The sequence below is a fragment of the Homo sapiens genome, chromosome 2 (genome assembly GCF_000001405.40).
Source record: "Homo sapiens chromosome 2, GRCh38.p14 Primary Assembly".
Classification (NCBI taxonomy): domain Eukaryota; kingdom Metazoa; phylum Chordata; class Mammalia; order Primates; family Hominidae; genus Homo; species Homo sapiens.
This window is the reverse complement of record NC_000002.12, coordinates 128183019-128209626: the sequence shown is the minus strand read 5'-3', so window position 1 is coordinate 128209626 and position 26608 is coordinate 128183019. Positions and strand designations below refer to the sequence as shown.

At 44.7% G+C, this 26608-nt stretch overlaps 1 protein-coding gene and 2 pseudogenes across 12 annotated transcripts in view, besides 2 other annotated features; all 3 read right to left on the bottom strand.

Moving 5' to 3' along the window:
- Positions 5828 to 6276, bottom strand: RPL14P6 (RPL14 pseudogene 6; annotated as a pseudogene).
- Positions 6842 to 7075: a silencer, noted in NCBI's record as "fragment chr2:128960126-128960359 (GRCh37/hg19 assembly coordinates)". NCBI's record gives its function as "represses an EF-1alpha promoter that drives an FKBP-Casp9 reporter gene in an ReSE screen in K562 erythroleukemia cells {active_cell/tissue: K562}" and the evidence as "EXISTENCE:reporter gene assay evidence [ECO:0000049][PMID:32094911]".
- Positions 8213 to 9733, bottom strand: DYNLT3P2 (dynein light chain Tctex-type 3 pseudogene 2; annotated as a pseudogene).
- Positions 13950 to 26608, bottom strand: part of UGGT1 (UDP-glucose glycoprotein glucosyltransferase 1) — a 104478-nt gene continuing 91819 nt past the window's right edge. For 10 of the 12 annotated variants that reach the window (NR_027671.3, NM_020120.4, XM_006712635.5 and 7 more), the window contains 4 exons: positions 25838 to 25952; positions 22828 to 22944; positions 22013 to 22178; positions 13950 to 19910 (listed from right to left, as the gene is read on the bottom strand). Coding sequence is in view for 11 of the 12 variants with exons in the window: in NM_020120.4 (NP_064505.1) it covers positions 19885 to 19910; positions 22013 to 22178; positions 22828 to 22944; positions 25838 to 25952 (424 nt within the window). In the remaining variant the exon portion in view is untranslated. Of the gene's footprint in view, positions 19911 to 22012; positions 22179 to 22827; positions 22945 to 25837; positions 25953 to 26608 lie in introns of those variants that run through there. The other 2 variants (XM_047445123.1, XM_047445124.1) reach the window with 1 other exon arrangement.
- Positions 21840 to 23039: an enhancer, noted in NCBI's record as "MED14-independent group 3 enhancer chr2:128944162-128945361 (GRCh37/hg19 assembly coordinates)". NCBI's record gives its function as "activates an origin of replication core promoter dependent on BRD2, BRD4, P300/CBP and CDK7 cofactors, and independent of MED14, by STARR-seq in HCT116 cells {active_cell/tissue: HCT116}" and the evidence as "EXISTENCE:reporter gene assay evidence [ECO:0000049][PMID:35650434]".

The following is a 26608-nucleotide window of genomic DNA, read 5'->3' as shown; positions in this document are numbered from 1 at the left end:
GCAAAGGCACTCCTCACTTGCCAGACAGGGTGGCTGGGCAGAGGCAGTCCTCACTTGCCAGACGGTGGGCAGCCAGGCAAAGGCACTTCTCACTGCCCAGACAGTTGGCAGCCAGGCAGAGGCCCTCATCACTTCCCAGATGGTGGGCAGCCGGGCATAGGCGCTCTTCACTTCCCAGATGGGGCGGCAGCCGGGCAGAGGCGCTCCTCGCTTGCCAGAGGGTGGGCGGCTGGGTCGAGGCACTTCTCACTTCCCAGACAGTTGGGCGTCAGGGCAGAGGCGCTTCTCACTTTCCAGACGGGGTGGCGGCAGGGCAGAGGGGCTCCTCACTTCCCAGATGGTTGGCAGCTGGGCAGAGGCATTCCTCACTTTGCAGACTGTGGGCAGCTGGGCAGAGACGCTCCTCACTTCCCAGATGGTTGGCAGCTGGGTAGAGGCACTCCCCAAATCCCAGACCAGGCAGCGGCAGGGCAGAGGCACTCCTGACTTCCCAAACGGGGCGGCAGCTGGGCAGAGATGCTCCTGACTTCCAGACGGTGGGCAGCCAGGAAAAGACTCTCCTCACTTCCCAGATAGGGCGGAAGCCTGGCAGAGGTGCTCCTCACTTCCCAGACAGTGGGCAGCTGGGCAGAGGCGCTCCTCATTTCCCAGATGGTGGGCAGTCAGGCAGAGGCTCTCCTCACTTCCCAGACAGTGGACAGCCGGGCAGAGGCGCTCCTCACTTCCCAGATGGTGGGCAGCCAGGCAGAGGCGCTCTTCACCTCCCAGATGGGGCGGCAGCCGGGCAGAGGCGCTCCTCGCTTGCCAGAGGGTGGGCGGCTGGGTCGAGGCACTTCTCACTTCCCAGACAGTTGGGCGTCAGGGCAGAGGCGCTTCTCACTTTCCAGACGGGGTGGTGGCAGGGCAGAGGAGCTCCTCACTTCCCAGACGGTTGGCAGCTGGGCAGAGGCATTCCTCACTTTGCAGACTGTGGGCAGCTGGGCAGAGACGCTCCTCACTTCCCAGATGGTTGGCAGCTGGGCAGAGGCACTCCCCAAATACCAGACCGGGCGGCGGCAGGACAGAGGCACTCCTGACTTCCCAAATGGGGCGGCAGCTGGGCAGAGATGCTCCTGACTTCCAGACGGTGGGCAGCCAGGAAGAGACTCTCCTCACTTCCCAGACAGGGCGGAAGCCTGGCAGAGGCGCTCCTCACTTCCCAGACAGTGGGCAGCTGGGCAGAGGCGCTCCTCACTTCCCAGATGGTGGGCAGCCAGGCAGAGGCGCTCTTCACTTGCCAGATGGTGGGCAGCCGGGCAGAGGCTCTCCTCACTTCCCAGTTGGGCAGCTGGGCAGAGGCACTCCTCACATCCCACGCGGTGTGGCGGCCGGGCAGAGGCGCTCCTCACATCCCCTCAGTTGGGCAGCTGGGCAGAGGCGCTCCTCACTTCCCGGATGGTGGAGAAATACATTTACGTCGTTTAAGCCAGGGTCTCCGAGCCCGGGGCTGTGGCCGGGTACGGGTCTCTGGCCTGTTAGGAAGCAGGCCGCACAGCAGGAGCGGGGAGGCGGGTGAGCGAGCATCACCGCACGAGCTCCACCCCCTCTCAGTTCAGCCACCCCGCTAGATTCTCACAGGAGCGCAAACCTCATCGTGAACTGCCCATGCGAGGGATCCAGGTTGCGCACTACTTATCAGAATCTAACGAATGCCTGATGATCTGAGGTGGAACAGTTTCATCCTGAAACCATACCCTCACCAACACCCCGTGGAAATATTGTCTTCCACCAAACCAGTCCCTGCTGCCAAAAAGGTTGGGGACCGCTGGTTGAAGCCACCCAGTCTGTGGCATTTTGTTATGGCAGCAGAGCTGACTAAGGGCAGAGCTGACTAAGGCATGCTACAAAGTGGATGAACTTTGAGGACACTATGCTAAGTGAAATTAAGCCAGACATAAAAGGGCAAATATTGCGATCCCACCTACATGAGGTACCCAGAATAGGCAAATTCATATAGACAGGAATTACTAGGGGCTGGGCCCGGCGCGGTGGTTCACCCCTGCAATCCCAGCACTTTGGGGGGCCAAGGCGGGTGGATCACCTGAGGTCAGGAGTTCAAGACCAGGCTGGCCAACATGGTGAAAACCCATCTCTACTAAAAATACAAAAATTAGACGGGTGTAGTGGCACGCACCTGTAATCTCAGCTACTTGGGAGGCTGAGGCACGAGGGGACATGCCTCCTTGAACCCGGGAGATGGAGGTTGCAATGAGCAGAGATGGCGCCACTGCACTCCAGCCTGGGCGATCGAGTAAGACTCTATCTCAAAAACAAAAAGAAGAAGAAGTTTCTAGGGACTTGGAGAGAGAAGAGAAGGGGGAATGATGATTTAAAGGGCACAGAGTTTCTGTATAGGATGATGAAAAAGTGCTGGGAATGAATAGTGGTGATGGTTGCACAACACTGTGAATGTACTTAAGATCACTAAACTGTACATGTAAAAATGGTTAAAATGGTAAATTTTATGTTATATGAATTGCACCACAATAAAATTGCAACCAAAAAAATACATGGAGCAAGCCAGGCATGCTGGTGGGCACCTGTACTACCAGCTACTCAGGAGGCTAAGGTGGGGGGATCATTTGAGCCCAGGAGTTCAAGTCCATCCTCAGCAACATAACAAGACCTCATCTCTAAAAATAATAAAAACATGGAGCAATAATTGACAGCTAAAAAGGGAAATATACATGTTACTGCATAATTATAGTTGGAGTTTTTAAATTGAGATTTTGATTTGCAATTTTTTAATGACTAATGATATTGAAGATCTTTTCATGGGCTTATTGTTCATTTGTATCTCTTCTTTGGGAAATATCTATTCAAATCCTTCACCCAGTTTTTCACTGGGCAGGTCTTTTGTTTGCTTTTTTTGTTTTTTCTTTTCTGCTCAGTTGTAGGAGTTTCCTATATGATCTGGTATTAATCTGTCATCAGATGTATGAGGCACAAATATTATTCTTATTCCCTAAGTTGTCTTTTCACTCTCATGATGTCCCTTGGTGCACACAAGTTTTTTATTTTAATGAATCCCAATTTATCTGTTTTTTTCTTCTGTTACCTGTGCTTTTGGTGGTATACTGAAGAAACCATTGCCAACTTAGTAGAGTTAAACTTCATCCTCTTGCATGTGGCTATTCAGCTGTCTCAGCACTATTTTTGAAAAGACTGTTCTTACTTTTTGTTTTTTTATCCAAGATGGAGTCTCGCTGTTGCCCAGGCTGGAGTACAGTGGCATGATCTCAGCTCACTGCAGATTCTGCCTCCCAGGTTCAAGCAATTCTCTGCCTCAGCCTCCCGAGTAGCTGGGATTACAGGTGCCTGCCACCATGCCCGGCTAATTTTTTTGTATTTTTAGTAGAGACAGGGTTTCATCATCTTGGCCAGGCTGGTCTTGAACTCCTGACCTCGTGATCCACCCATCTTGGCCTCCCAAAGTGCTGGAATTATAGGCATGAGCCACCGTGCCCAGCCTGTTCTTACTTTATTTAATTGTTTTGGCACCCACATCAAAAGTGAATTGACCACATATATAAGGGTTTTTCTTTCAGTTCCATCTGTCTACATGTTTATTCTTATGCTCGTACCATACTGTTTTGAATACTGTAGCTTTGTAGTAAGTTTTCAAATTGGGAAGTATGTGTTCTCCAATATTGTTCTGTTTTTATCAACATTGTTCTGTTTTATCAAGAATGCCTAGTCAGGGTCTGCTGAAATTCTATATGTATTTTAGGATGAATTTTTATATTTTTGCAGAAAACAACAGTGGGATTTTGACAAAAATACATTGAATCTTTAGATCAATTTGCAGAGTATTGTCATTTTAACAACATTACATCTTCCAATTCATGAACACAGTATGTCTTTATATTTATTTAGAACTTTAATTTCTTTCACTAATGTTGTGTAGTTTAGTGTATAGCCTTTCTCACCTTTTGTTTTACTCCTAAGCATTTTATTCTTTTTTGATGATATGTAAGTGGAATTCCTTTTTGGATTGTTCATTGCTAGTGTTTAGAAATACTACTATTTGTGTGTTGATTTTTGTATCCTACAACATGGCTGAATTCATTATTTAGTGCTAACAATTTTTGTGGATTCCTTAGGGTATTCTATATATAAGGTCATATGATCTGTGAACAGAGATAACTTCTTTTCCAATCTGGGTATATTCAGGCACAGTGGTTCATGCCTGTAGCCCCAGCACTTTGGGAGGCTGAGGTGGGAGGATTGTTTGAGCCCAGGAGTTCGAGACCAGCCTGGACAACATGGCAAAACACTATCTCAATAAAAAATAGAAAAATTAGCCAGGCGTGGTGGCACGTGCTTGTAGTCTCAGCTACTAGGGAGGCTGAGGTGGGATAATCACCTGAGCCCAGGAGGCTGAGGCCACGGTGGGCTGTGATCATGTCACTGCACCCCAGCCTGGGTGACAGAATGAGACCCTGTCTCATACACAAAAAGAGTTGGGTGTCTTTTATTTCTTTTTCTTGCCTAATTTCTCCAGCCACAACTTTCAGTACTATGTTGAATAGAGGTGGCAAAAGTGGGTATCATTGTCTTTTTCCTGATCTTAGGGGGAAAGCTTTTAGTCTTACACCACTGAGTATGATGTGGATTTTTCACATACGGTCTTTATCATGCAGGGAATATTCCCTTCTATTCCTAGTTTATTGAGTGTTTTTATCATGAAAGGGTATCAAATTTAATCAATTTTTAAAAACAACTGAGATCATCTTTTTTTTTTTTTTAGATGAAGTCTCACTCTGTCACTCAGGCTGGAGTGCAGTGGCACAATCCTGGCTCACTGCAACCTCCACCTCCCGAGTTCAAGTGATTCTCCTGCCTCAGCTCCCAAGTAGCTGGGATTACAGGCGCCTGCCACCACACCTGGCTAATTTTTGTATTTTTACTAGAGATGGGGTTTCACCATGTTGGCCAAGCTGGTCTTGAACTCTGGGCCTCAAGTGATCCACCAACCTCAGCCTCCCAACGTGCTGGGATTACAGGCATGAAACACCACGCCTGGCTGAATCTAGTATTTTTCCTTCATTCTATTAATATGGCATGGTACAGTGAAAGATTTTTCTATGTTCAACTACCTTTGCTCTGGGGATAAATTCCACTTGCCCATGGCATATAATCAATTTAATATACTGCTGAATTTGGTTCGGTAGTATTTTGTTGAGAATTTTTGCTTCTTCATAAGGAAGGTTAGCCTCCACTTTTCTTATAGGATCTTTGTACCCTACAAGATACAAAGCTTTGGTATCAGGGTAATGCTGGCCTCATAGAATGAGTTCAGAAGTGTTCTTCTCTCTTTGATTTTCTGGATGAGTTTGAGAAACAGTGGTACATTAATCTCTAAATATTCAGTAGAGATCACCAGTAAAGCTATCTGGTCCTGGGAATTTCTTTTTTGGGAGGTTTTTGCTTATTGGTTCACTCTCCTTACTTGTTATAGGTTTAGTCTGATTTTCTAGTTCTTTTTTCCCAGTTTTGTTAGTTTGTATGTTTATAGAAATTTGTCCTTGGCTGGGTCCAGTGGCTCATGCCTATAATTCCAGCACTTTGGGAGGCAGAGACCAGTAGATCACTTGAGGTCAGGAGTTTGAGACCAGCCTGGCCAACATAGCTAAATCCCGTCTCTACCAAAAATACAAAAAAATCTAGCCAGGCCTGGTGGCAAGTGCCTGTAGTCCCAGCTACTCAGGAGGCTGAGGTGGGAGGACTGCTTGAACCTGGGATGCAGAGGTTGCAGTGAACCAAGATCATGCCACTGGCACGCCAGCCTGGGCAACAGGTGCTATATGGGGAGAAGCTTTCAGGACAGCAGCCTTTTGAAGCTTCTTAATTTAATTCTTGATCATTCTGTTCCTCATTTTCTTTGCCTTCATGACTAAAATGATCAAAATCTATCATTTTGGCTTCCCCTTCTTTGGCTTCACTCTTCTTGGCCCATTGTGTGCCTGTCCATTTTGTATTGATGGTTGCCTTCTGCCAGGCTTCTTGGCCATGCCTCTGGGGTGGGCACTGGGTGGGAACTTGAGGATAAAGTCAGTGAGCTGCATGCATTTAAATGGCATGGCCTGTCTCCTTACCTGAGTGCAAGCTCCACCAACCAAAGCCCTGTTCTCATCAACAACATCTATAATCGCAACCAGCTTTCCAGCATGAGGTCCAGAGATGTAAGCCACTTGGCCAACCTCCACAAAGTGCCTGAACACCATGTTGGTGGCGCCCATCAAGAAGCTAAATCGTCTGATAGAAGGGTAAGCAGAAGCAGCTGCCACCACTGCCAAGAGGGCAAACTAAAGCAGGTGCCTGTGCTGCTTCCTCAGGGTACACCAGACCAGCCAAAATTTACAGATCCAATTTTTTTGGAGGAGGAGATCAGTACTGCCTACACTGGCACCAGTGAGATGTTCCAAGAGTGCAGGCAGCCAACCCTACAGCTGAGGTGGCACTGAGGAGGGAGGATGGTGGTGGGTCACATATGCCACTCACTCACAAATCAGCAGTCTCTTCCTTCAGGAAGTGCTTCCCTGGTGGTTGTAAGTGTTTGAACATGGTCCAGAGCTCCAGAATAGTTGCTTCCAGTTGATCTTGCCAGATCAATGACTCAGTGCAGTGACCACCCCCTAGATCTCTTTCACCCTATCTACTTTCATTTAACGTGCAATTCTGGTAAATTCCTTTTTAAAGTCCAATGTGAAAATCTCAGCCTTTTATTTAGAGTGTTTAAGAAAATTAACTTGTAATTACTGATATTTTTTAGTTTTGAGTTTGATGGCTACTAGTTAGTCATTTGTCTCCTCTGTACTGATTCTTTTGTCCTTCCATTCCTGTCTTCTATTGGGTTGATCAAGTTTTATGTTTCAGGGGAATTTTTTAATTAAAAAAACTTTTTTTCATTTTTAACTTGTTTTGTAGAGATGGAGTCTCGCTATGTTGCCCAGGCTGGTCTCGAACTCCTGGGCTCAAGTGATCCTCCCACCTTGGCCTCTCAAAGTGCTGGAATTACAGGCAAGAGCCAGTGTGCCCAGCCTTAATTTTTTTTGAGACAGAGTCTCACTGGAGTGCAGTGGTATGATCTCAGCTCGGTGCAACCTCTGCCTCCCGGGTTCAAGTGATTCTCCTGCCTCAGCCTCCCAAGTAGCTGGGACTACAGGTGCCCGTCACCACACCCGGCTAGCTTTTGTATTTTCAGTAGAGATGGGGTTTCACCATGTTGGCCAGGCTGGTCTCAAACTCCTGACTTCAGGTGATCTGCCCGCCTTGGCTCCCAAAGTGCTGGGATTACAGGCATGAGCCACCGCACCCACCGGCCCTAATTTTTAAAAAGTTTTAAGCAGTTCCATTGTACCTCTTCTTTTGCTTTTTGGCTATAACACTTTGCATTTTTCAGATGGCTGCGCTACAGAAAGCAATATGCTGCCTTAGCTTATCAGTTTCTCCTGCCCTGTCCTCAAAACAAATCACAGTAGATTTAAGAAACTTACAACTCCCATCCTTTGTGTGGTTGTCATATATTTTACTCTACATGCTATACACCCCGCAATATACCAATGTTATTTCTGTTTTAAGCAATCAATGGTCTTGTAAATAACTCAAGTAAAGAAAAAAATAGTGTATTTACCCACATATTTACTATTTCCAGTGCTCCCTTCCTCCCTGGAGGTTTGAATTTATATTTGGCATCATTTCCCTTTTTTTCTTTTTTGAGACGAAGTCTCACTCTTGTCGCCCAGGCTGGAGTGCAGTGGCGCGATCTCGGCTCACTGCAAGCTCCGCTTCCCGGGTTCATGCCATTCTCCTGCCTCAGCCTCCAGCTGGGACTACAGGCGCCCGTCACCACGCCCACGCCCAGCTAATTTTTTTTTTTTTTTTTTTTTTTTTTGTATTTTTAGTAGAGACGGTATTTCACCGTGTTAGCCAGGATGGTCTCGATCTCCTGACCTTGTGATCCGCCCGCCTCGGCCTCCCAAAGTGCTGGGATTACAGGTGTGAGCCACCGTGCCCAGCAATTTTTGTACTTTTTTTTTTAGTAGAGATGGAGTTTCACCATGTTGGCCAGGGTGGTTTCTAACTCCTGACCTCAGGGGACCTGACTGCCTCGGCCTCCAAAAGTGCTGGCATTACAGGCGCGAGCCACTGTGCCTGGCCCTTTTTTTTTCAGCACAGGAAGATAATATTTATTATATTTTAATTAGAAACACAGAAGATAGCAAGTTCACGAGGTATGAATTTTTTTTTCTTAAACCAGGCTTCAACAACAATAAAAAATAAGTCTGCATATATATTTTGGTCACTATTATAATCTTCAAGGGCACAAAAGCCAGCAGCATAAAGAAACATGAGTAATGACTGAGAATTTCTGATGTGCCAAAAACAAAGATCACTGCATTAAACTCATTTATTTTGTTAATATTATTCTTTTATTTATTTATTTATTTTGAGACTGAGTCTTGCTCTGTTGCCAAGGCTGGAGTACAGCGGTGCGATCTCAGTTCATTGCAACCTCCACCTCCTGGGTTCAAGCAATTCTCCTGCCTCAGCCTCCTGAGTGGCTGGGACTACAGGCACGTACCACCACGCCTGAATAATTTTTTGTATTTTTAGTAGAGATGGGGTTTCACTGTGTTAGCCAGGATGGTCTCAATCTCCTGACCTTGTGATACACCCACCTCAGCCTCCCAAAGTGCTGGGATTACAGGTGTGAGCCACCGCACCCAGCCAATTGTATACTTTTAATCTATACTTTATTCCACTCAATTTGAACCCCACGTAATAAGTCTTTAAAATTATTTACAGATGGTTGTAACTAAAGCAATGACAAAATTTACTACTTGTATAGATAAGACTGATACTAAACCCTTTAACTAAGAGTTGCATATTTTATATGCACTTTTAACTTGCTAGGAGCAACTCTTAAAATTACATCTATAATTCTGTCAGAAAGCACTAAGTGCTTTTCATTTTGCTTACTTTTTTTTTTTTTTTTTTTTTTTGAGACGGAGTCTTGCTCTGTGGCCCAGGCTGGAGTGCAGTGGCGCGATCTCGGCTCACTGCAAGCTCCACCTCCTGGGTTCACGCCATTCTCCTGCCTCAGCCTCCCAAGTAGCTGGGACTACAGGCGCCCGCCACCAGGCCAAGTTAATTTTTTTGTATTTTTTAGTACAGACGGGGTTTCACCATGTTAGCCAGGATGGTCTCGATCTCCTGACCTTGTGATCCGCCCGTCTCGGCCTCCCAGAGTGCTGGGATTACAGCATTTTGCTTATATAATGCACGCTTGTCATCTAGCACACTAATAAATATTACTCATTTTTTGAAAAGATACACTGACAAATTCTTTAAGTTAATGGCTTTAGCCCAACATTTTTAGTAAGTTAAAGAACACTAGCAATGGCAAAAACGTTGACAATACGGTTCATGGTCCAGTTCTCCCATCTTATGGTACAGGTTCCATCAGATGTGGTATCCCAAAAACAGGAGCTGGCTGTATGAAAGCCATATGCGCTCTTCTGGACCACTGCACAGGTCACAATATATGTATAAGCTTTTCCCAACTTAACCAGATGTGTTAAGGATTGTTCCACTATGCTTGGTTGATGATGTGATTATAATCTTCACCAGCACACACTCTTTGACAATATTGTGGGCTTCCTTAGCATTGAAGCCAACCTCAGGGTCGGGAGAACGGGTCAGGTGGGGCAGATCCCAGGCCTATTGGAGAGGACCAGGGCTTGGAGGACACTGAACCCCAACTCTTGGGGCCACCCCCCTGGGAGCCTTTTTTTTTAAAGCAATTTTGTAGTACTTGTCTCCTACAATGAATGCTGTCAGCATTCAGTTACCCCAAAATGTTTTTATTCCAACTTCTTTTTTTTTTTTGAGACAGTCTTCCTCGGTCACCCAGGCGCAGTGCAATGGCATGATCTCGGCTCATTGCAACCTCTGCCTGCCGGGTTCAAGCGATTGTCCTGCCTCAGCCTCCCGAGTAGCTGAGATTACAGGTTCCTGCCACCACACCCGGCTAATTTTTGTATTTTTAGTAGAGACAGGGTTTCACAATGTTGGCCAGGCTGGTCTCAAAACTCCTGACCTCAGGTGATCCACCCGCCTCGGCCTCGCAAAGTGCTGGGATTACAGGTGTGAGGCACCGCGCCTGGCCCCAGGTTCATTTTTGAGGAATATTTTCCCTGCATGTAGGATGTTAGCTCCTTTCAGCATTCTATGACGTCACTCCCCTGTTCCTGATGGGAAGTCAGCTGTCATTTTCATTGTTGTTCCCCTCCACATCAGGTGTTTTTGTTTTCCTGGCTACTACTTTTTCATGATTTTATCTTTAATTTTCAGCATTTGACTATGATGCACCTAGGTGTGGCCTTCTTTATATTCATCCTGCTTTTAAGGGGAGGGAGTGGTGATTCCGGTGAGGCCAGATGCAGATCAAGAGAGAAACGGTAAATTTGACATGTCGCACTCAGTTCCCTGGGGAGAAACAGCACTCCACGCAGGGCCACTCAGTGGAAGCAACCACTGGTTATGGGGCACAGGGAGCAGGGGAATGTGGGCAAGACCCCTTATTGTGGTTTCCCAGGAAGGAACAGGTGAGGCAGGGGCAGCAGACTGAGACTGACTGGAATAATCTCAGCTGGCGCTGGGCCACAGGGGCTGTTGCAGGATGTCTGGTACTGCCCTGGGGTGTCAGAGTGCTGGCCTGGAGCTTGAGCTGAAGAAGGGAGGTAGTTGAGGGTGTAAACTTGATTGGCTGCTCTAGAGGACTGACTGGCCTCTAGCCAGGACCTCAAAGCTAGGGCCTCAAAACTGGGCCAAGACCGCATTTTCAAAAAACAAACAATTTTGGCCAATATTTCTCCGTATTTTTTTTTCTGCCACATTTTCTCTCCTCTCCTGGGATTCTAGTTACGCATTTGTTATACTGTCTCACAGTTTACTGAGTCTCTGCTCATTTATTCTTTTTCAATCTCTTCTTCCACTTTGTTTTTCAATTTAGATAATTTCTATTAACGTGTCTTCAAGTTCACTGACTTTTCTTCTGCAAATGGGGAAATGGGGAGATGCAGATCAAAAGAGTACAAACTCTCAGTTTAAAGATAAGTTCTGTGGGGCTGGGCGTGGTGGTTCATGCCTGTAATCCCAGCACTTTGGGAGGCCAAGGTGGGCAGATTGCCTAAGGTCAGGAGTTTGAGACCAGCCTGACCAACATGGTGAAACTCCATCTCTAATAAAAATACAAAAATTAGCCAGGTGCAGTGGCAGTTGCCTGTAATCCCAGCTACTCAGGAGGCTGAGGCAGGAGAATTGCTTGAACCCAGGAAGTGGAGGTTGCAGTGAGGCCAGATCGCAACATTGCACTTAAGCCTGCGCGATAGGCCAGGTGTGGGGGCTCACGCCTCTAACCCTAGCACTTTGGGAGGCCAAGGCGGGCGGATCATGAGGTCAGGAATTTGAGACCAGCCTGAACAACATGGTGAAACCCCGTCTCTACTAAAAATACAAAAATTAGCCGGGCATGGTGGCGCACGCCTATAATCCCTGCTACTCAGGAGGCTGAGGCAGGAGAATTGCTTGAATCTGGGAGGCGGCGGTTGCAGTGAGCTAAGATCACACCACTGCACTTCAGCCTGGGCGACAGACCGAGGCTCCGTCTCAAAAAAAGAAAAAAAGATAAGTTCTGGGGATCTAATGTGCAGCACAGGTGGGGATGGGTGTCCTAATTCAGTGGTGATAATCACACAATGCACATGTGTAGCAAATCATCACACGGGACACCTGGAATATACACAATCTTTGTCAATTAAATTAATAAATATATATATACACATATACCTACACACACACACAAACTCAGGACGTATCAAAAGGCAATAAAAAAGCATCCACTTATGTCTGAGAAAAACGTTTATAATTATTTTAACATTTTTATTGAATGATTTCAACACCTTGGTTTATGGGTTGTTTTGATTTTGTTTTTTTGAGACAGGGTCTCACTCTGTCACCCAGGCTGGAGTGCAATGGCACTATCACAGCTCACCACAGCCTCAACCTCCCAGGCTCAAATGATCTTCCCACCGCAGCCTTCTGAGTAGCTGGGACTACAGGCACATACCACCATGCCTGGCTAATTTTTTGTATTTTTTGTAGAGATGGGGTTTCACCATGTTGCCGAGGCTGGTCTCAAACTCCTGGGCTCCAACAATCCAACCGCCTCGGCTTCCCAAAGTCCTGGGGTTACAGGTGTGCACCACCGCACCCAGCCTGATTTTTTTTCTTGATCACGTCATATGTTCCCACTTCCTGTCGTGCCTACTGATGTGGTTATATACAGGACATTCTGAATAATATACTATAGACACTCTGGATTCAGTTTTTTCCCACAAAAACTTTTGTTTTAGCAGAGTTTGGTTACTAGCGATCACCCTGATTCTGCTAAGCCTTCATTTTAGGCTTTACGAGGGTAGGTCTATCTTAGTGTTGCCCTCAGTCCTAGACCCTAGATTTGAGTTCTGTGATGTGGTCCTAATCCTAAGGCCTACACCCTGGGTTTTCGATGCAAAGTCTGAAATAGTTACCAAATCCCTCTAATTTGATGGAAAATGAATTCTAAACTTCTTCTCCCCAGCACATCTTCTGAAATCTCTACTCAGCTTTTCCAGCCTTCCAAGTGTTGCTTTCCATTTGGAATTCTGCCCTGTTTATGTATAATACAGGAACCCGCCAAGAACTTGATGAGACTATACAAGGCAAAGTTGGGGGCTTCTATGGCTTCCTCCTTTCTGGGATGTGCCCCCACACAAGTGTGCAGCGGCCAAGAACGTCCTGAAGTGACTTGGCTCCTGGGCCTAGTAAGCCTGCCACCTTCTGTTTTATTCCCTGTGAGCCACATGAGGTTTCACTTCTTCTGATGGTTCGTGCTCTCCCTCTCTTGCCGGTATCTCAGCAGGCTCTAGTGCTTTTCAAATAGTGTGTGTAATGATCAGGCGTAGGCTGGTCTGACACATGCTGCTCTGCCCTTCCTGGATGCCAGACTGTAATCAGATGTTTAAGTGTTAAAATAAACTCCAACTTCCTTTTCTTTATCTGGATGATGGATATGCTAGTGCTTTCACTTTGTGAAAAACTATCAAGGTGTGTGTTTATGTACTTTTCAGTATGTGCTACAGACCTCAACACAAAGTTTATTACAAGAAAAAACCCATTTAGTGCCAGCACCCAGTTTAAACCCCTGAAGGGCCTTCTTGTGCCCCCAGGATCAAACCCATTCCCCCTCTCCTGGCCACGTGCAGGCTTCCATGCAGCTCCCTCAAAAACACTAGCTCAAGCTCCTCCCCTCTGCCCACCCCTCGCCCCTACTTAGTCCTCAGGCTTCAACCTAAGCACCACCTCCTTGTAGCAGCTTAGTCCTGGTCCTGCACCTTAGGGCCCTCTCTTGCGCCTTCACAGGCACCAGGTGCCCCTCCCCGCCCTCCCCATCATCACACAGAGACTACATCCTCAATGCATATCCACCCCGGAGTAGGAGCTCAGAGAACTGGCAAAATGCAAAGTCCATGCCACCCTCCTAAGGAACTCTGCCGGCCCAGGGGTCTCATGACACCTTCTTGCCTTGAGGTTCCCCCTCCCACCCCACCTGTTATGCCTGCCTGCCAAGTTCTGCCTGGGGCAGCTCCCAGAGGTTGAGGACCTGGAGGAGACCTGGGTGCTTTGGATCCTCAGAATCCAAAGAACTGGATGCAACCCGAAGCCAGCCCCAGCAGCAGACAAGACTCAGGTAAAGCCCTCGTTCCTCTGTCTGGGTTTGCAGCTTCTGCTAGATGAAGGGGTTGGACTTTGTGCTCTATCAATCTGCCCTTCCTAAACACAAAGGCCAAATGACTGCGCAGTTTTAAAGAAGAGAGGAAACGTTTACTGTGTTGAGCAGACCTTATTTTCATTACAGTACCAGGAAGTTCATTCTCAATTCCCTTCGAACGCAGAGATTCTGCAGACATTTAAAAGCCCAATGCTGTTCCCAAGCAAGAGGCAGCACCTGACAACAATGCTGCATTTAATGGAGCAGGATTACAGTAACATTGGATATTCATAAAGAAGATTTTTAAAGTACACAGTTTCCTTAAAAATTATAACATTTTCCCACCTTTATTTTATTATTACCACGAATAACTGGTTGGTTGGAAAACATGGTACTTGATAATCTTTTGTTGTCAACCTTAAGTTAATGTATTTTGCTTTCTGCTGTTGTTGTTAAGAGACGTTATGCCCATTTCTCTGGAAATCTCAATGGTGACAAGTAAGGCAAGGCATACAATACATTCCTGTCCCACTGCAACCTTCCACAGCTAGCCTCTGCACTGCTGGGTATCTGGGAAAGACTCAGGAGAGGACCTTTTGCTTGCAAATCCTCAAACTCCTGACCTCGGGTGATCCGCCTGCCTTGGCCTCCCAAGGTGCTAGGATTACAGGCGTGAGCCACCACGCCCGGCGCTTGCAAATACCGACCACAGAGTTTAACCTTCATGGGCTCCTTCTAGGAAGCAGGCAGCCACTTGCCACAGACTTTGCAGTTTGTTTTTATAAATTGTCACTGATCAATGACAGCCTGAGGGAATGGGACCCTCTACTCAATTCATTGACTTCCTGCTTCTACTGCCTCCCAGAAGTGTCATTTCATTTCTGTATATAGAGAAATGAAAGACCAAAGAATGAAATGAGAAATCTGTATCCTCTAGGCATTTCAGGTATATACCCTGAAATATCAATAACCACTGAAGTTCATGATGTCTCATTTGCTTGAATTCAATCAGTTAATTACCAAAATACTGATTAAGATCTTTCCCTCACTACCTCAAGGCAGAGAAAACATGAATTTAAAGAAGTTATCTTACCAAACTACACACATGACAAGCTTTATTTGATTAACTCCAATCATCCCACAAAAATGTGCCCATAAAATCAAGTACTTAAAAAACTAATTATTAAAATTACACAACAATGGGACAGGCGCGGTGGTTCACGCCTATAATCCCAGCACTTTGGGGGGCCGATGCGGGTGGATCACTTGAGGTCAGGAGTTCGAGACCACCCTGGCCAACATGGCAAAACCCCGTCTCTACTAAAAATACAAAAATTAGCTAGGCATAGTGGCAGGCACCTGTAATCCCAGCTACTCAGGAGGTTGAGTCAGGAGAATCTCTTGAACCCGGGAGGCAGAGGCTGCAGTGAGCTGAGATTGTGCCACTGCACTCCACTCCAGCCTGAGCAACAGAGCGAGATTCTGTCTCAAAAAAAAAAAAAGCAAAAATTAGCCGGGTGTGGTGGCGCACACCTGTAATCCCAGCTACTCGGAAGGCTGAGGCAGGAGAATCACCTGAACCCAGGAGGCAGAGGTTGCAGTGAGCCAAGGTCACACCATTGTACTCCACCCTGGGCAACAAGAGCAAATCTCTGTCTTGAGGGGGGAAAAAAACCACGCAACAATGGAATACATATATTTAAATAACTGCACATAATACACCCTCCATTTTTGTTACCAAGAGAAAGCTTCCATCAGGTAGCTTTACCAATACATTTCCATTCCCATGAAATGCAATACCACAGTACTAATATTCTATTCAGAAAAAGACTACAATTCCCTTGTAACTCTTTTTCTTTTTCCCTTGTAACTCTGAGTTCTTTCTTTTAATCGTTCAGGCCACATAGGTAAGGCCATTTTAGAAAAGGACTGCTTTCAAGTATCTAAATATACTTCCGGAGGGCGGGGGAGGAAGGGAGTCATTTTACACTTGTCACTCTCAGGGTGATGTCTGACTGTCCAAGTCACGGGGTCAGTAGAGCAGGTTTCCTGGCTAAAGGAAACTCTGGGAGTTCTTTCCTCCCTACCACCTGGGCCAGTCTCTTCCCCCTGTCCCTAGCTCTTGGCCCTCTACTCAGGGACTTGGTCCCCACAATCAGATGAAAACTCATTCAGGCAGAGCCTTGACAAGGTTCAGAACACGAGGGCTTGACCGGACATAGTGGCTCACGCCTGTAATCCCAGCACTTTGGGAGGCCGAGGTGGGCAGATCACCACCTGAGGTCAGGAGTTTGAGATCAGCCTGGCCAACCAACATGGTAAAACCCCATCTCTACTAAAAATACAAAAATTAACCAGGCATGGTGGCAGGCGCCTGTAATCCCAGCTACTCAGGAGGCTGAGGCAGGAGAATTGTTTGAACTTGGGAGGCAGAGGTTGAAGTGAGCCAAGATCGCACCACTGCACTCCAGCCTGGGTGACAGAATGAGACTCTCTTAAAAAAAAACCCACGAGGGCTTAAGGACAGCAGAGCAAATTAAGCTCCATTTATGGAAACTGTTTTAATTTTTTTTTTTTTTTTTTTTTTTTTTTTGAGACGGAGTCTCGCTCTATTGCCAGGCTGGAGTGCAGTGGCATGATCTCGGCTCACTGCAACCTCCACCTCCCGGGTTCAAGTGATTCTCCTGCCTCAGCCTCCCGAGTAGCTGGGACTACAGGTGTGTGCCACCATGCCCAGCTAATTTTTGTATTTTTAGTAGAGACGGGGTTTCACCGTGTTGGCCAGGATGGTCTCTATCTCTTGACCTCATAATCCGCCCGCCTCGGCTTCCCAAAGTGCTGGGATTACAGGTGTAAGCCACTGTGCCTGACCGGAAACTGTTTCTTAACATACATCATGCACGTAATCTTCGCTCTCCCAAGAGGCATTCACCCAAGCAGACAGGCAAGCATCTATGTGTTCAATTCGAAATGCAACAATGACAGATGTACAACTTTACCACTCTTAAAGAAACTAACATGCCATCCATTATTCTCCATGTGGGAAACATTCAGTAAACTTCTAAAACCAAACACAGGACTCTGGCATATCCCCACACCCCCAGCAGCAGGCTGTGACAGGCTTTGATCTCAATCAAATGCCACTGTACACAGAACATAAAAACAGGCTCAGGATGCTGCATGTCACTCTGACATATCACATTATTTCATATTACTCTGTCACTTACTCACAAACAAAAGTCTCCACTATGGCATGATTGAGAGAGAAAATAATTCACTTTATATAAATAACAGCTAAGAACAACATACTGTGAACAGTTTCCAGAGTTTGAACATTCAGCACAATCAATTCTTACTTCTTGGGAAAAAAATATCTTACCTATCTTTTCTGTTACAGTATGCCTTCTTGGAGAAAATATTTTAGTGGTAACATCATTTTCTGGGGCATTTGGTTAATTTTGAAAGATGATTATGCCACATGAACCAAAAAAAAAAAAAAAAACTGGCAGGAGGAGGAGGGTCCTAGGCCATTCTGGAAGCAAGCTGGGTTTTGCATTATTCAGAGTCAACTATTAAGCTGACTTATATTAGAATGGCGACAGATAAGAGGCAATGAGTGACACCAGGACATGCACAGCACACAGAGAATATGGTCTACTCTTGTCTTCCCTGCACAGATTAAACATAAGAGGCTTGGTAGAAAGACATGGGGAAAGGTGCTATGGGGGCCAGCATTTGGAAAGCATATATCCCAGTGACTTGAGTATTTGCTATGCAACCTCCTGGACGAGAAACTGGGAAAAGGCACACTTCCGCCCACAGTTGTGGACAGCAGCAGTCACCCGTCTGAATGCTTTCATTCAATGTGAAGATGCAGCTTGAACAAAAGTTTCTTTTTGTTTGTTTGTTTTCTGAGATGGAGTCTCGCTCTGTCACCCAGGCTGGAGTGCAGTGGCACGATCTCAGCTCACTGCAACCTCTGCCTCCTGGGTTCAGGCGATTCTCCTGTCTCTGCCTCCCGAGTAGCTGGGAATAGAGGGTGAGCCACAACACCCGGCTAATTTTTGTATTTTTAGTAGAGACGGGGTTTCACCATATTGGCCAGGCTGGTCTTGAACTCCTGACCTCATGATCCGTCCGCCTCAGCCTCCCAAAGTGCTGGGATTACAGGTGTGAGCCACCACGCCTGGCCGAACAAAAGTTTTTTAATCTTACTGATCCCATCTTTCCAGCTGCTCTGAACAGAGGGGCAGGGCGGGGAAAGTCATGTCACAGACTCTGCCCACAGCAGCCATTCTGAGGTGCCTTTTCAGTCTCTTATCCTCTTTTGAGCTTTCCTCTTCTTAATTTTTTGTTTTGTTTTGTTTTCATTGTACTCATTAATCCCCTCCTCAATTTTTAACAGAATTATAAAAGCAAAGTCAAAAGGTCCTTCAGGATGACTGGGAGGCTTCCTAGGCTAACTTTTGCATTTGAAAATGGAAAAAATAAATTACTTGATATTTGTGATAAGACTAAGATTTCTTAAAAGTCTGCACATCAATATATTACCTGGCTTAGGAGGGTGAGGGCACAGTATCCATCTGCACCCTCTCCTCGTATTTTTTAAAAACAGGCAAAATATGTAAGAAAAGGCTGGTGCACGTTGGAAGACAGAGCGTGCCTGTCTATGCCAGTGCTGCTGTGCCCTGCAGCCTGGCAGATGGAGTCGGATGCTGGGGCCTCATGCCCACTTAGGCCAATAACATACTCAAGACTCTACAGCCCGTTCACCAGCAAAGTATGCCCTGAGGGGCAACACTGGCTGTGGAAGTGAAGACACACAAAGCAGGGACTAAAGGCAAATGGGGCTTCACGATGCAGCGACATGAAGACAGAACTGGTGTGGGCGCCAAAGGCAACCTGCAGGGCTCACATAAAAGGAAAATAGGACAGAAAGCCACGAGTTCCACAAGCAGAATCATTTCTGGTCTTACATCTGAGGGCATTTGTAGAGAAAAGTCCAAGGCAATGTCCCCTGGGTCTGAGAGAAAAATCCTACGCAAAAGAGGGCAGACAATGCGGTGCTCGTCTTGAGGGAGCCTGACCCTGACCCTGACCCTGACGGGCTGGATGCGAGAGGGGCTGAGTATGGCTGTATTCAGTAAGGAAACTGGTAGCAGACTTTTCTAGAAGGTGGAAAGAAAAAGCAAAGACTTTCACAGATACAAAAATTGTTTTCAAAACAATTACCTAGAAAGTTCACTGCGGTTGGGTGGGGAATAAGTGTAATATTTTCATTTCAAATGAGCCATGGTGCTACTAATGGATTATAAAAGAGGATGGCCAGTTCTGGTCTTCCTTCCCTTCCCTTAACCCCCGAACCTTCCTACTCCTGACATTTTCCCTACCCTCACTGCAACCCACCCCCATCCTGGCCCAAAATTAATTTGCCCAGCCACTGCACCAAACCAGCCTTGACACACAATTGTTGGTTGGATTTCAATTAAACAATGCACCTAATGCGTTGGAAGAGAAGGTGGGGAGGGCACAAGGATGTTGGCGTAAACCTGGAGGTGTGTGGACCTTGGACAGAGCTTCCGCCGGCCAGACCCAGGGCAGGGTGGGCATCTGCAGTGCAGCGCAGGCCGCAGGTAAACTGAGGTAAGGAAGAACATGGTGGCTCTAGCTGGCCCTGCTTTCCGAGACAGTGCAGCATGTGTGTGCTCTTGGGTGTGGGCACCAAAAAACTCATTTTCTTCCAGTTGCTGCTGCCATTCCACCCTCTGACTAGAAGAATGCTCTTTACAGAGTCCAAAGGATCAGCCACTTGGTCTTCCTCTGAGGTACAAATCCAACAGAGCTTTAATCCCAAAGATCCAGTGGCCACCAGAGTACAGAAGTCAGAATCAAATGCTCAGAATCAAAAGGTGTGGCACTCCTGCCCAGCCGGCTTATCAGCAGTTGTATAGACAGATCAGAAAAAACTAGCATTTATTATAAAAACTGTTTTTCAAATGGGGTGATTTCCTGTCCTTCTCCAGAGATCATAATTCTTCACGTTTCTGAGGACCTAAGGAAAAGGAGAACCACAGAAAAGAAAACAGATGATCTTCAAATTACAAACACCACTGAGTGGGCATTTTTCATCACTGGAACCTATTCTTTGTACCTCCACCTTCATCTTATCTCACTTACTAAATCTTTGGGATTTGTGCTTTTGTACTGTATTTTGAAAGCAAAAACTAAATTAAAGATTTTTTAAAAATGGAAACTATCTGTAAACCCCACTCCAACTGAATTGTTTTCACAAATACAATATTTACTTTCAGTAAACGTTGCATGCATTTTTTTAGTCGGGATTTTTCTTTTATCATTTAATAGCATCTAAACATTTTCTATGTATCAGTGTAGCTCATTCTTGGATGTTTAAACTGTTTTTGATGCTTCTGGCTTATAAGTAATAGTAAAATAAATTTTTTCATGTATACAACTTTGTTTTTTCTGTTGAATTATTTCTTTCAGATATATTCTCAAGAGAGTAATTCTTGAGGGTATATAAACGCCTTACGGGCTTCTAATGGCAGATGTACTGCTTTGTAACAAGGGCTATTCCAATACACAAAGCTTCATCAAGCTACATCCACAACGGTTTCATCACCGCCTCCCAAACAAATGGCATTATCACTATGTCTGTTTTCTTCCATGTAGCAGATACTAGTGATAGACTGCTTTAATTTGATTACTGTTTCCTCAAATTCATTTATTATTTGTGTTTCCTCTTACTTGAACAGTGTGTCCACATTCTTTGCCCATTTATCTATGGAAATCCTCAGGGTTTTACTGATGAATCGGAATTAATTACTTTTATGGTTACTATATAACCTTCCAGCTGTGATATTTAATATCATAGTACAGTCTGAGGGATGTATAGGCAAATCACCCAAGATCCATGTTCTGGATTTTTTTATTTTGAGACAGGGTCTTGCTTGGTCACAGGTTCTCTCTCTGTTACCTAGGCTGGAGTGCAGTCGCTCACTGCAACCTTGACCTCCAGGCTCAAGCAATCCTCCGACTTCAGCCTCCTGAGAGGCTAGGATTATAGGCATGAGCCACTGTGCCCAGCCACTTTTTTAGAATTAGTCTAAAGCAGAATAAATCTTAAAAATCCAGAGCCCATGTACATACCAAAACATCACTATGGACTCCACAAATATGTACAATTATTACGTGACAATTTAAAAATAAATACATTTAAAATTTTTCTTAAATCTAGAGCCCAACTTATTAATATTTTAAAAAGTCAATTTCGTATTCTAATGATTTTTTCAAGTAGCTATCATTCAAGACACACACAACAGGGAAGACATTAAAGACTTAACACTAAATTAAATACAAGCATTCCATCTCCATCCCAACATGCTTGTTTTAAAGAATACTTTTTTCGGCCAGGCGCAGTGCCTCACGTCTGTAATCCTAGCACTTTGGGAGGCTGAGGCGGGCGGATCACTTGGGTCAGGAGTTTGAGACCAGCCTGGGCAACATGGTGAAACCCTGTCTCTACTAAAACTACAAAAAATAAAAAATAAATAAAATTTAAAAATAGCTGGGTGTGGTGGTGCATGCCTGTAATTCCAGCTACTTGGGAGGCTGAGGCATGAGAAACACATGAACCTGGGAGGTGGAGGCTGCAGTGAGCCAAGATCATGCCACTGCACTCCAGCCTGGGCAACAGAGTGAGACTCTGTCTCAAAAAAAAAAAAAAAAAGTTTCTTCAACTACATATTTGTGTTGATCTAAATTTTTTCATTCACTAGTACACTGACAGATTTAATGAAAAAAAAAACAAGGAATCTAAGAAGAACTCTGCAAAAGGTTTGGTTTATGTATCACAAAACTCATGAACCTAAATAACTATAATCACAATTAAAATACCCTTTCTCCCCCTCACCAGAAAAACGAGAAAAAAAAAAAAACATAGCAATTGCACTAATAAATACTGTTTAGAAGACCAACATAAAAGGAAAATGAAAAATATATACTGGTTGATGTTAGAATGGAAGGATTAATAGGAGATTTTTCTCTTCCTTTTATCCATTATTCTATTGTCTTTACAACAAGCAGAAATCAGAAATGGAAAGAAGTACTGTCCTAAAACCAACGGTTTGTGCTTACCTTCTCGGCTTGGTTCTTTTGTCTTCTCTTTGTACAGTGCTCCCGTTTCTTTCTCCTTCTGAAAGCGGATCTGTAGCTGTTTGATCTCTTGGTCGTAGTCCTGCCACTCCGGGACAATCCGCACAGCTGCTTCCAGTTTCGGCTCTTTGGTCATCGGATTATTACACTGTGAAACCAAAAGAACACACTTCAGCTGAGTTGAAGAAAGGCCACATGATAGAGAATTCAAAGGTTCTTGGGTTACAAGTCCTAACTGGACAAGAAAACAATAGTAAGGAACCAAATGATATACTACCAGAAGCAATATGGTAGTGGGCTATGTAAAGCTGTATTTACATCTACAAAGAATGTGTGAGTGGCTAATGGAAGGCAGGAAAAGTGAAAGTCCATTTGGAAAAATTACAAGGCACAGAGATAAACTGGAAGCCAAGGAGTGACTCAGCAGATTGTAAGTTGTGAAAACAGTCCCATTAAGTGCTAAGGGATTTGGTTTCCTAATGTAAGCAGGGAAATAAAACCAGTGAAATATTCTATAAGATAAGAATATTTATAAGAATATTCTATAAGAATAGCCCCAACAAACTATATACTTATGCTTACTATACAACAAACGATACTAATTCTATAAGATAAGAATATTTATAAGAATATTCTGTAAGATAAGAATAGCCCCGACAAACTACACAATTACAGAGAAAGTCTAAATAAGAATCTAGGAAATTCTTAAATTTAAGAATCTAAATAAAAATCATTAATCGTGATTCACTCACACATCCAGTGGATGAACATGCAGAAGCACACCACATACGGCTTACCAAATCAATGGTTTTTGCCCTTTTCTTAGAGGCGTCATCACACCACGTTTCACACCAAAGCCATTCTTGAGGGAGGGATTTAATTGGCACCTGATGAATCATGTTATTGGGCAGATCCTGTTTGGTTAAAAAAAAATAAAAATAAAATACATGTATCTAAAGTTCTGGCGATATTTATTTATTTATTTATTGAGAGATGGGGTCCCACTCTGTCACCCAGGTTGGAGTGCAGTAGTACGATCTCGGCTCACTGCAGCCTCCACCTCCCAGGTTCAAGAGATTCTCCTGCCTCAGCCTCCTGAGTAGCTGGGACTACAGGGGCCCGCCACCATGCCTGGCCAATTTTTGTATTTTTACTAGAGATGCGTTTTGCCATGTTGCCCCAGGTTGGTCTCAAACTGCTGAGCTTAGGCGATCCACCCACCTTAGCCTCACAAAGTGCTGAGATTATAGGCATGAGCCACTGCACCCAGCCAGTTCGTGTGGAGACAAACGTATAGAACATCAGTGATGTACAGCTGCTCGTTACAGATCACATGCCAATCACAAATGTTTAAAATGGAAAAGGTCCTTACCAATGCCTTAGAGAAGTTATTCAAAACTACAAATTTTAGAGGATCCATAAAACATCTGCCCATAATAAGCAACTGAAAAGCTTTGGCTTAAAACTTACAAACAGCCTGCACCTAACCCTCCCTTCATTAGGGCAATCCTGAGAAAAATACTCCTACTGACTTCTGAAAGTCAACTAAATAGAGTGGTGGTTCGTAAATTTTGCAGGCTTCTGTCAAGGAAGTTCTGAATCTACCTTGTCTATTGAGACTTGCTCCCAAATAGACGACATTTTTTCTAGCCAATGCTACCCTATGCTTTAAACCTTTTTCCTGTGGAGTCCTTCTGACTTTGCCACAATAAAATGTTCCATTGTCCTAAGACTTACATGGAACAAGGAAATGTACAGAAATGATTGACTGCGATACTTGTAAAGAATGTTCCATGATGGTACAAAAATAAATAGATGATACTTCTCTACAAAACCCTGCCAACAGACTAAAATTTAAAAATAGCTGCTGAAGTGGGTAGATCGCTTGAGCCCGGGAGTTCCAAGACTGGCCAGGGCAACATGGCAAAACCCCATCTCTATAAAAAATACAAAAAATTAGCTGGGCCTGGTGGTGTGAGCCTGTCGTCCCAGCTGCTCAGGAGGCTGAGGTGGGAGGATCGCCTGAGCCTGGGAGTTCGAGGCTGCAGTGAGCCATGATCGCATCACTGCACTCCAGCCTGGGTGACAGAGTGAGACCTTGTCTAAAAAAAAAAAAAAAAAAAAAAAGGCCGGGCACGGTGGCTCACACCTGCAATCCCAGCACTTTGGGAGGCCAAGGTGGGTGGATCACCTGAGGTCAGGAGTTCAAGACCAGCCTGGCCAACATGGTGAAACCCTGTCTCAACTAAAAATACAGAAAAATTAGCTGGGTGTGGTGGCACGCCTCTGTAATCCCACCTGCTCGGGAGGCTGAGGTTGCAGTGAGCTGAGATTACGCCACTGCACTCCAGCCTGGGCTACAAGAACAAAGCTCCATCTCCAAAAAAAAAAAAAAAAGAGAGAAACAAATACTGTTGGGTGATACCATTTTTGAACTCAAATTATTCCCCAAAATAATTCTGCAAAAACAACGCCTGACACACTACAGAAGATAAACAAATATGTGATAGACAGTATGAACAAAAGAATAACAGAAATAATACAACAGAATCAGATCCATAGTAGCTCCATAAATTAGAAGATACCAGGTATCACACAAATTTTAAAGTAAGTAGAGCCGGGCACTGTGGCTCGTGATTGTAATCCCGGCACTTTGGGAGGCCAAAGCGGGTGGATCACTTGAGGTCAGGAGTTTGAGACCAGCCTGGCCAACATGGTGAAACCCTGTCTCTACTGAAAATACAAAAATTAGCCAGGAGTGGTGGTGCGTGCCTGTAATCCTAGTTACTCAGGAGGCTGAGGCAGGAGGATCACTTGAACCCGGGAGGTGGAGGTTGCAGTGAGTGCAACCCAGAGCATGCCACTGCACTCCAGCCTGGGAAACAGAGTGAGATTCTGTCTCAAAACAAACAAACAAACAAAAAAGTTTACCTTTTATTATTCCATTGAGATAGAGGAGAAGAAAATGAGCAAATTAAACTAGTGTTTATGGATACATGCTTAAACAGTAAATCTATAAAGAAACAAAAATGATTACCATAAAAGTCGTGATGCTAGACACTTTTGTTAGGGAGGAAGGATGGCTTCTGGGATGCTGATAATGTTCTAGTTCTTGAACTAGGTTGTGGTATCTGGGTATTTGCTTCATAATAATTCCTGGATGTATGTGAATATGTATGTATGTTTTTTGTATACTTTTCTTTATGGATGCTACATATCACAATAAAGGTTTAAAAACATTTAAGTAGACTTAAGCAAAATAAAATGCTTAAAATATGTGAAATATGTATCCAAAACCCTTAAACTACAATCTCACCTCTGAAAAATGCTTAACATTAACAAACAGTAATTTAGCTAGCCTTGAAACACATCATGGTTTCTGACATAGAAAAAGGGGAAGCTGTGATACTATACTGTGATTCTATACTACGAATCCTGAGCTATTTAGTTCCTACAGCAGAAAAACAAACTGACCCTAGTAGGTAGAGAAACAAACCTATGAGATTAGTTTGAGTACAAAATACAAAGATATGCTAATGGTTCAGAGAGGCAGCATTCTCCTTCCATCTCTCTCCCCAGCCAGCATCAAATCTATGACATTTTTCACGCTGATATGTCTTGAGGGCAGATAAAAATCTCTCTCTCTCTCTCTCTCTCTCACACACACACACACACACACACACACACCATGAAAAAACAAGACGCCATCCTGTGAGGAGAGGACTGAAGACACAAGTAATACTTCATTTTCTGATGCAACACTGTATACCCGTCACTCACAGTTAACCATAAAAAATGGACACTTACTTGATCAAGATTTGAAAGGCTGTTAGGGTCCTGACTCAGACCTTGGTACTGTCCCCTGAGTCTGTCACCAGCAGCTATTTTCCTAAACTTCTTCAGATCCACAACATATAGTGCACTGAATAAAGAAGACCCGCTTGTTACAACCAACCATGGATTACGACAGGAAAACTAAACCCAATGAATAATGGAACAGGCCACTAGCCAAATATTCTGGCTTTTCTTTGAAAAGGTATGCTACAGCCCTACAGTGGAGTTAAAGTGTGCTACTTTAAAGATCTCTAAGAAAGTCACTGCAAAATCTATACTGTGCTATGCTTTTGTTACTGTTCTGTATTTGCCATCCGAAAGAAATAATCTCAGACCAAAGATTTCTAGCATATGCGGCAGTAACAAAAGCCATAGTAACTGATAAACAACCATTATTCAATGATATCCTGATGATGTCTTCAATGTTACAGGGGGGGGAAAACCCCAGAGTGTTACAGTCCTTACAGTTCTTTTGGACCAGGAATGTAAAGAATGAAGCCACCATCACTAAACCCCAGCAGTGATCTCTGCATGTGCCGCTTCCTACACGTTCCTCTTCCCTGCACATCTTCAAATCACACTTCTCGCAGAGAAGAGAATGGGGTGCTCATTAGAAATGTAACAACACACACACTGTTCGACCTAAAAGGTCTACGTCTAGGAATTTATCTCACAAATATATGAGATATGAAAAATTATTTAGTAGATTATTCATTGCAACATTGTAGGTCACAGGGAAAACTA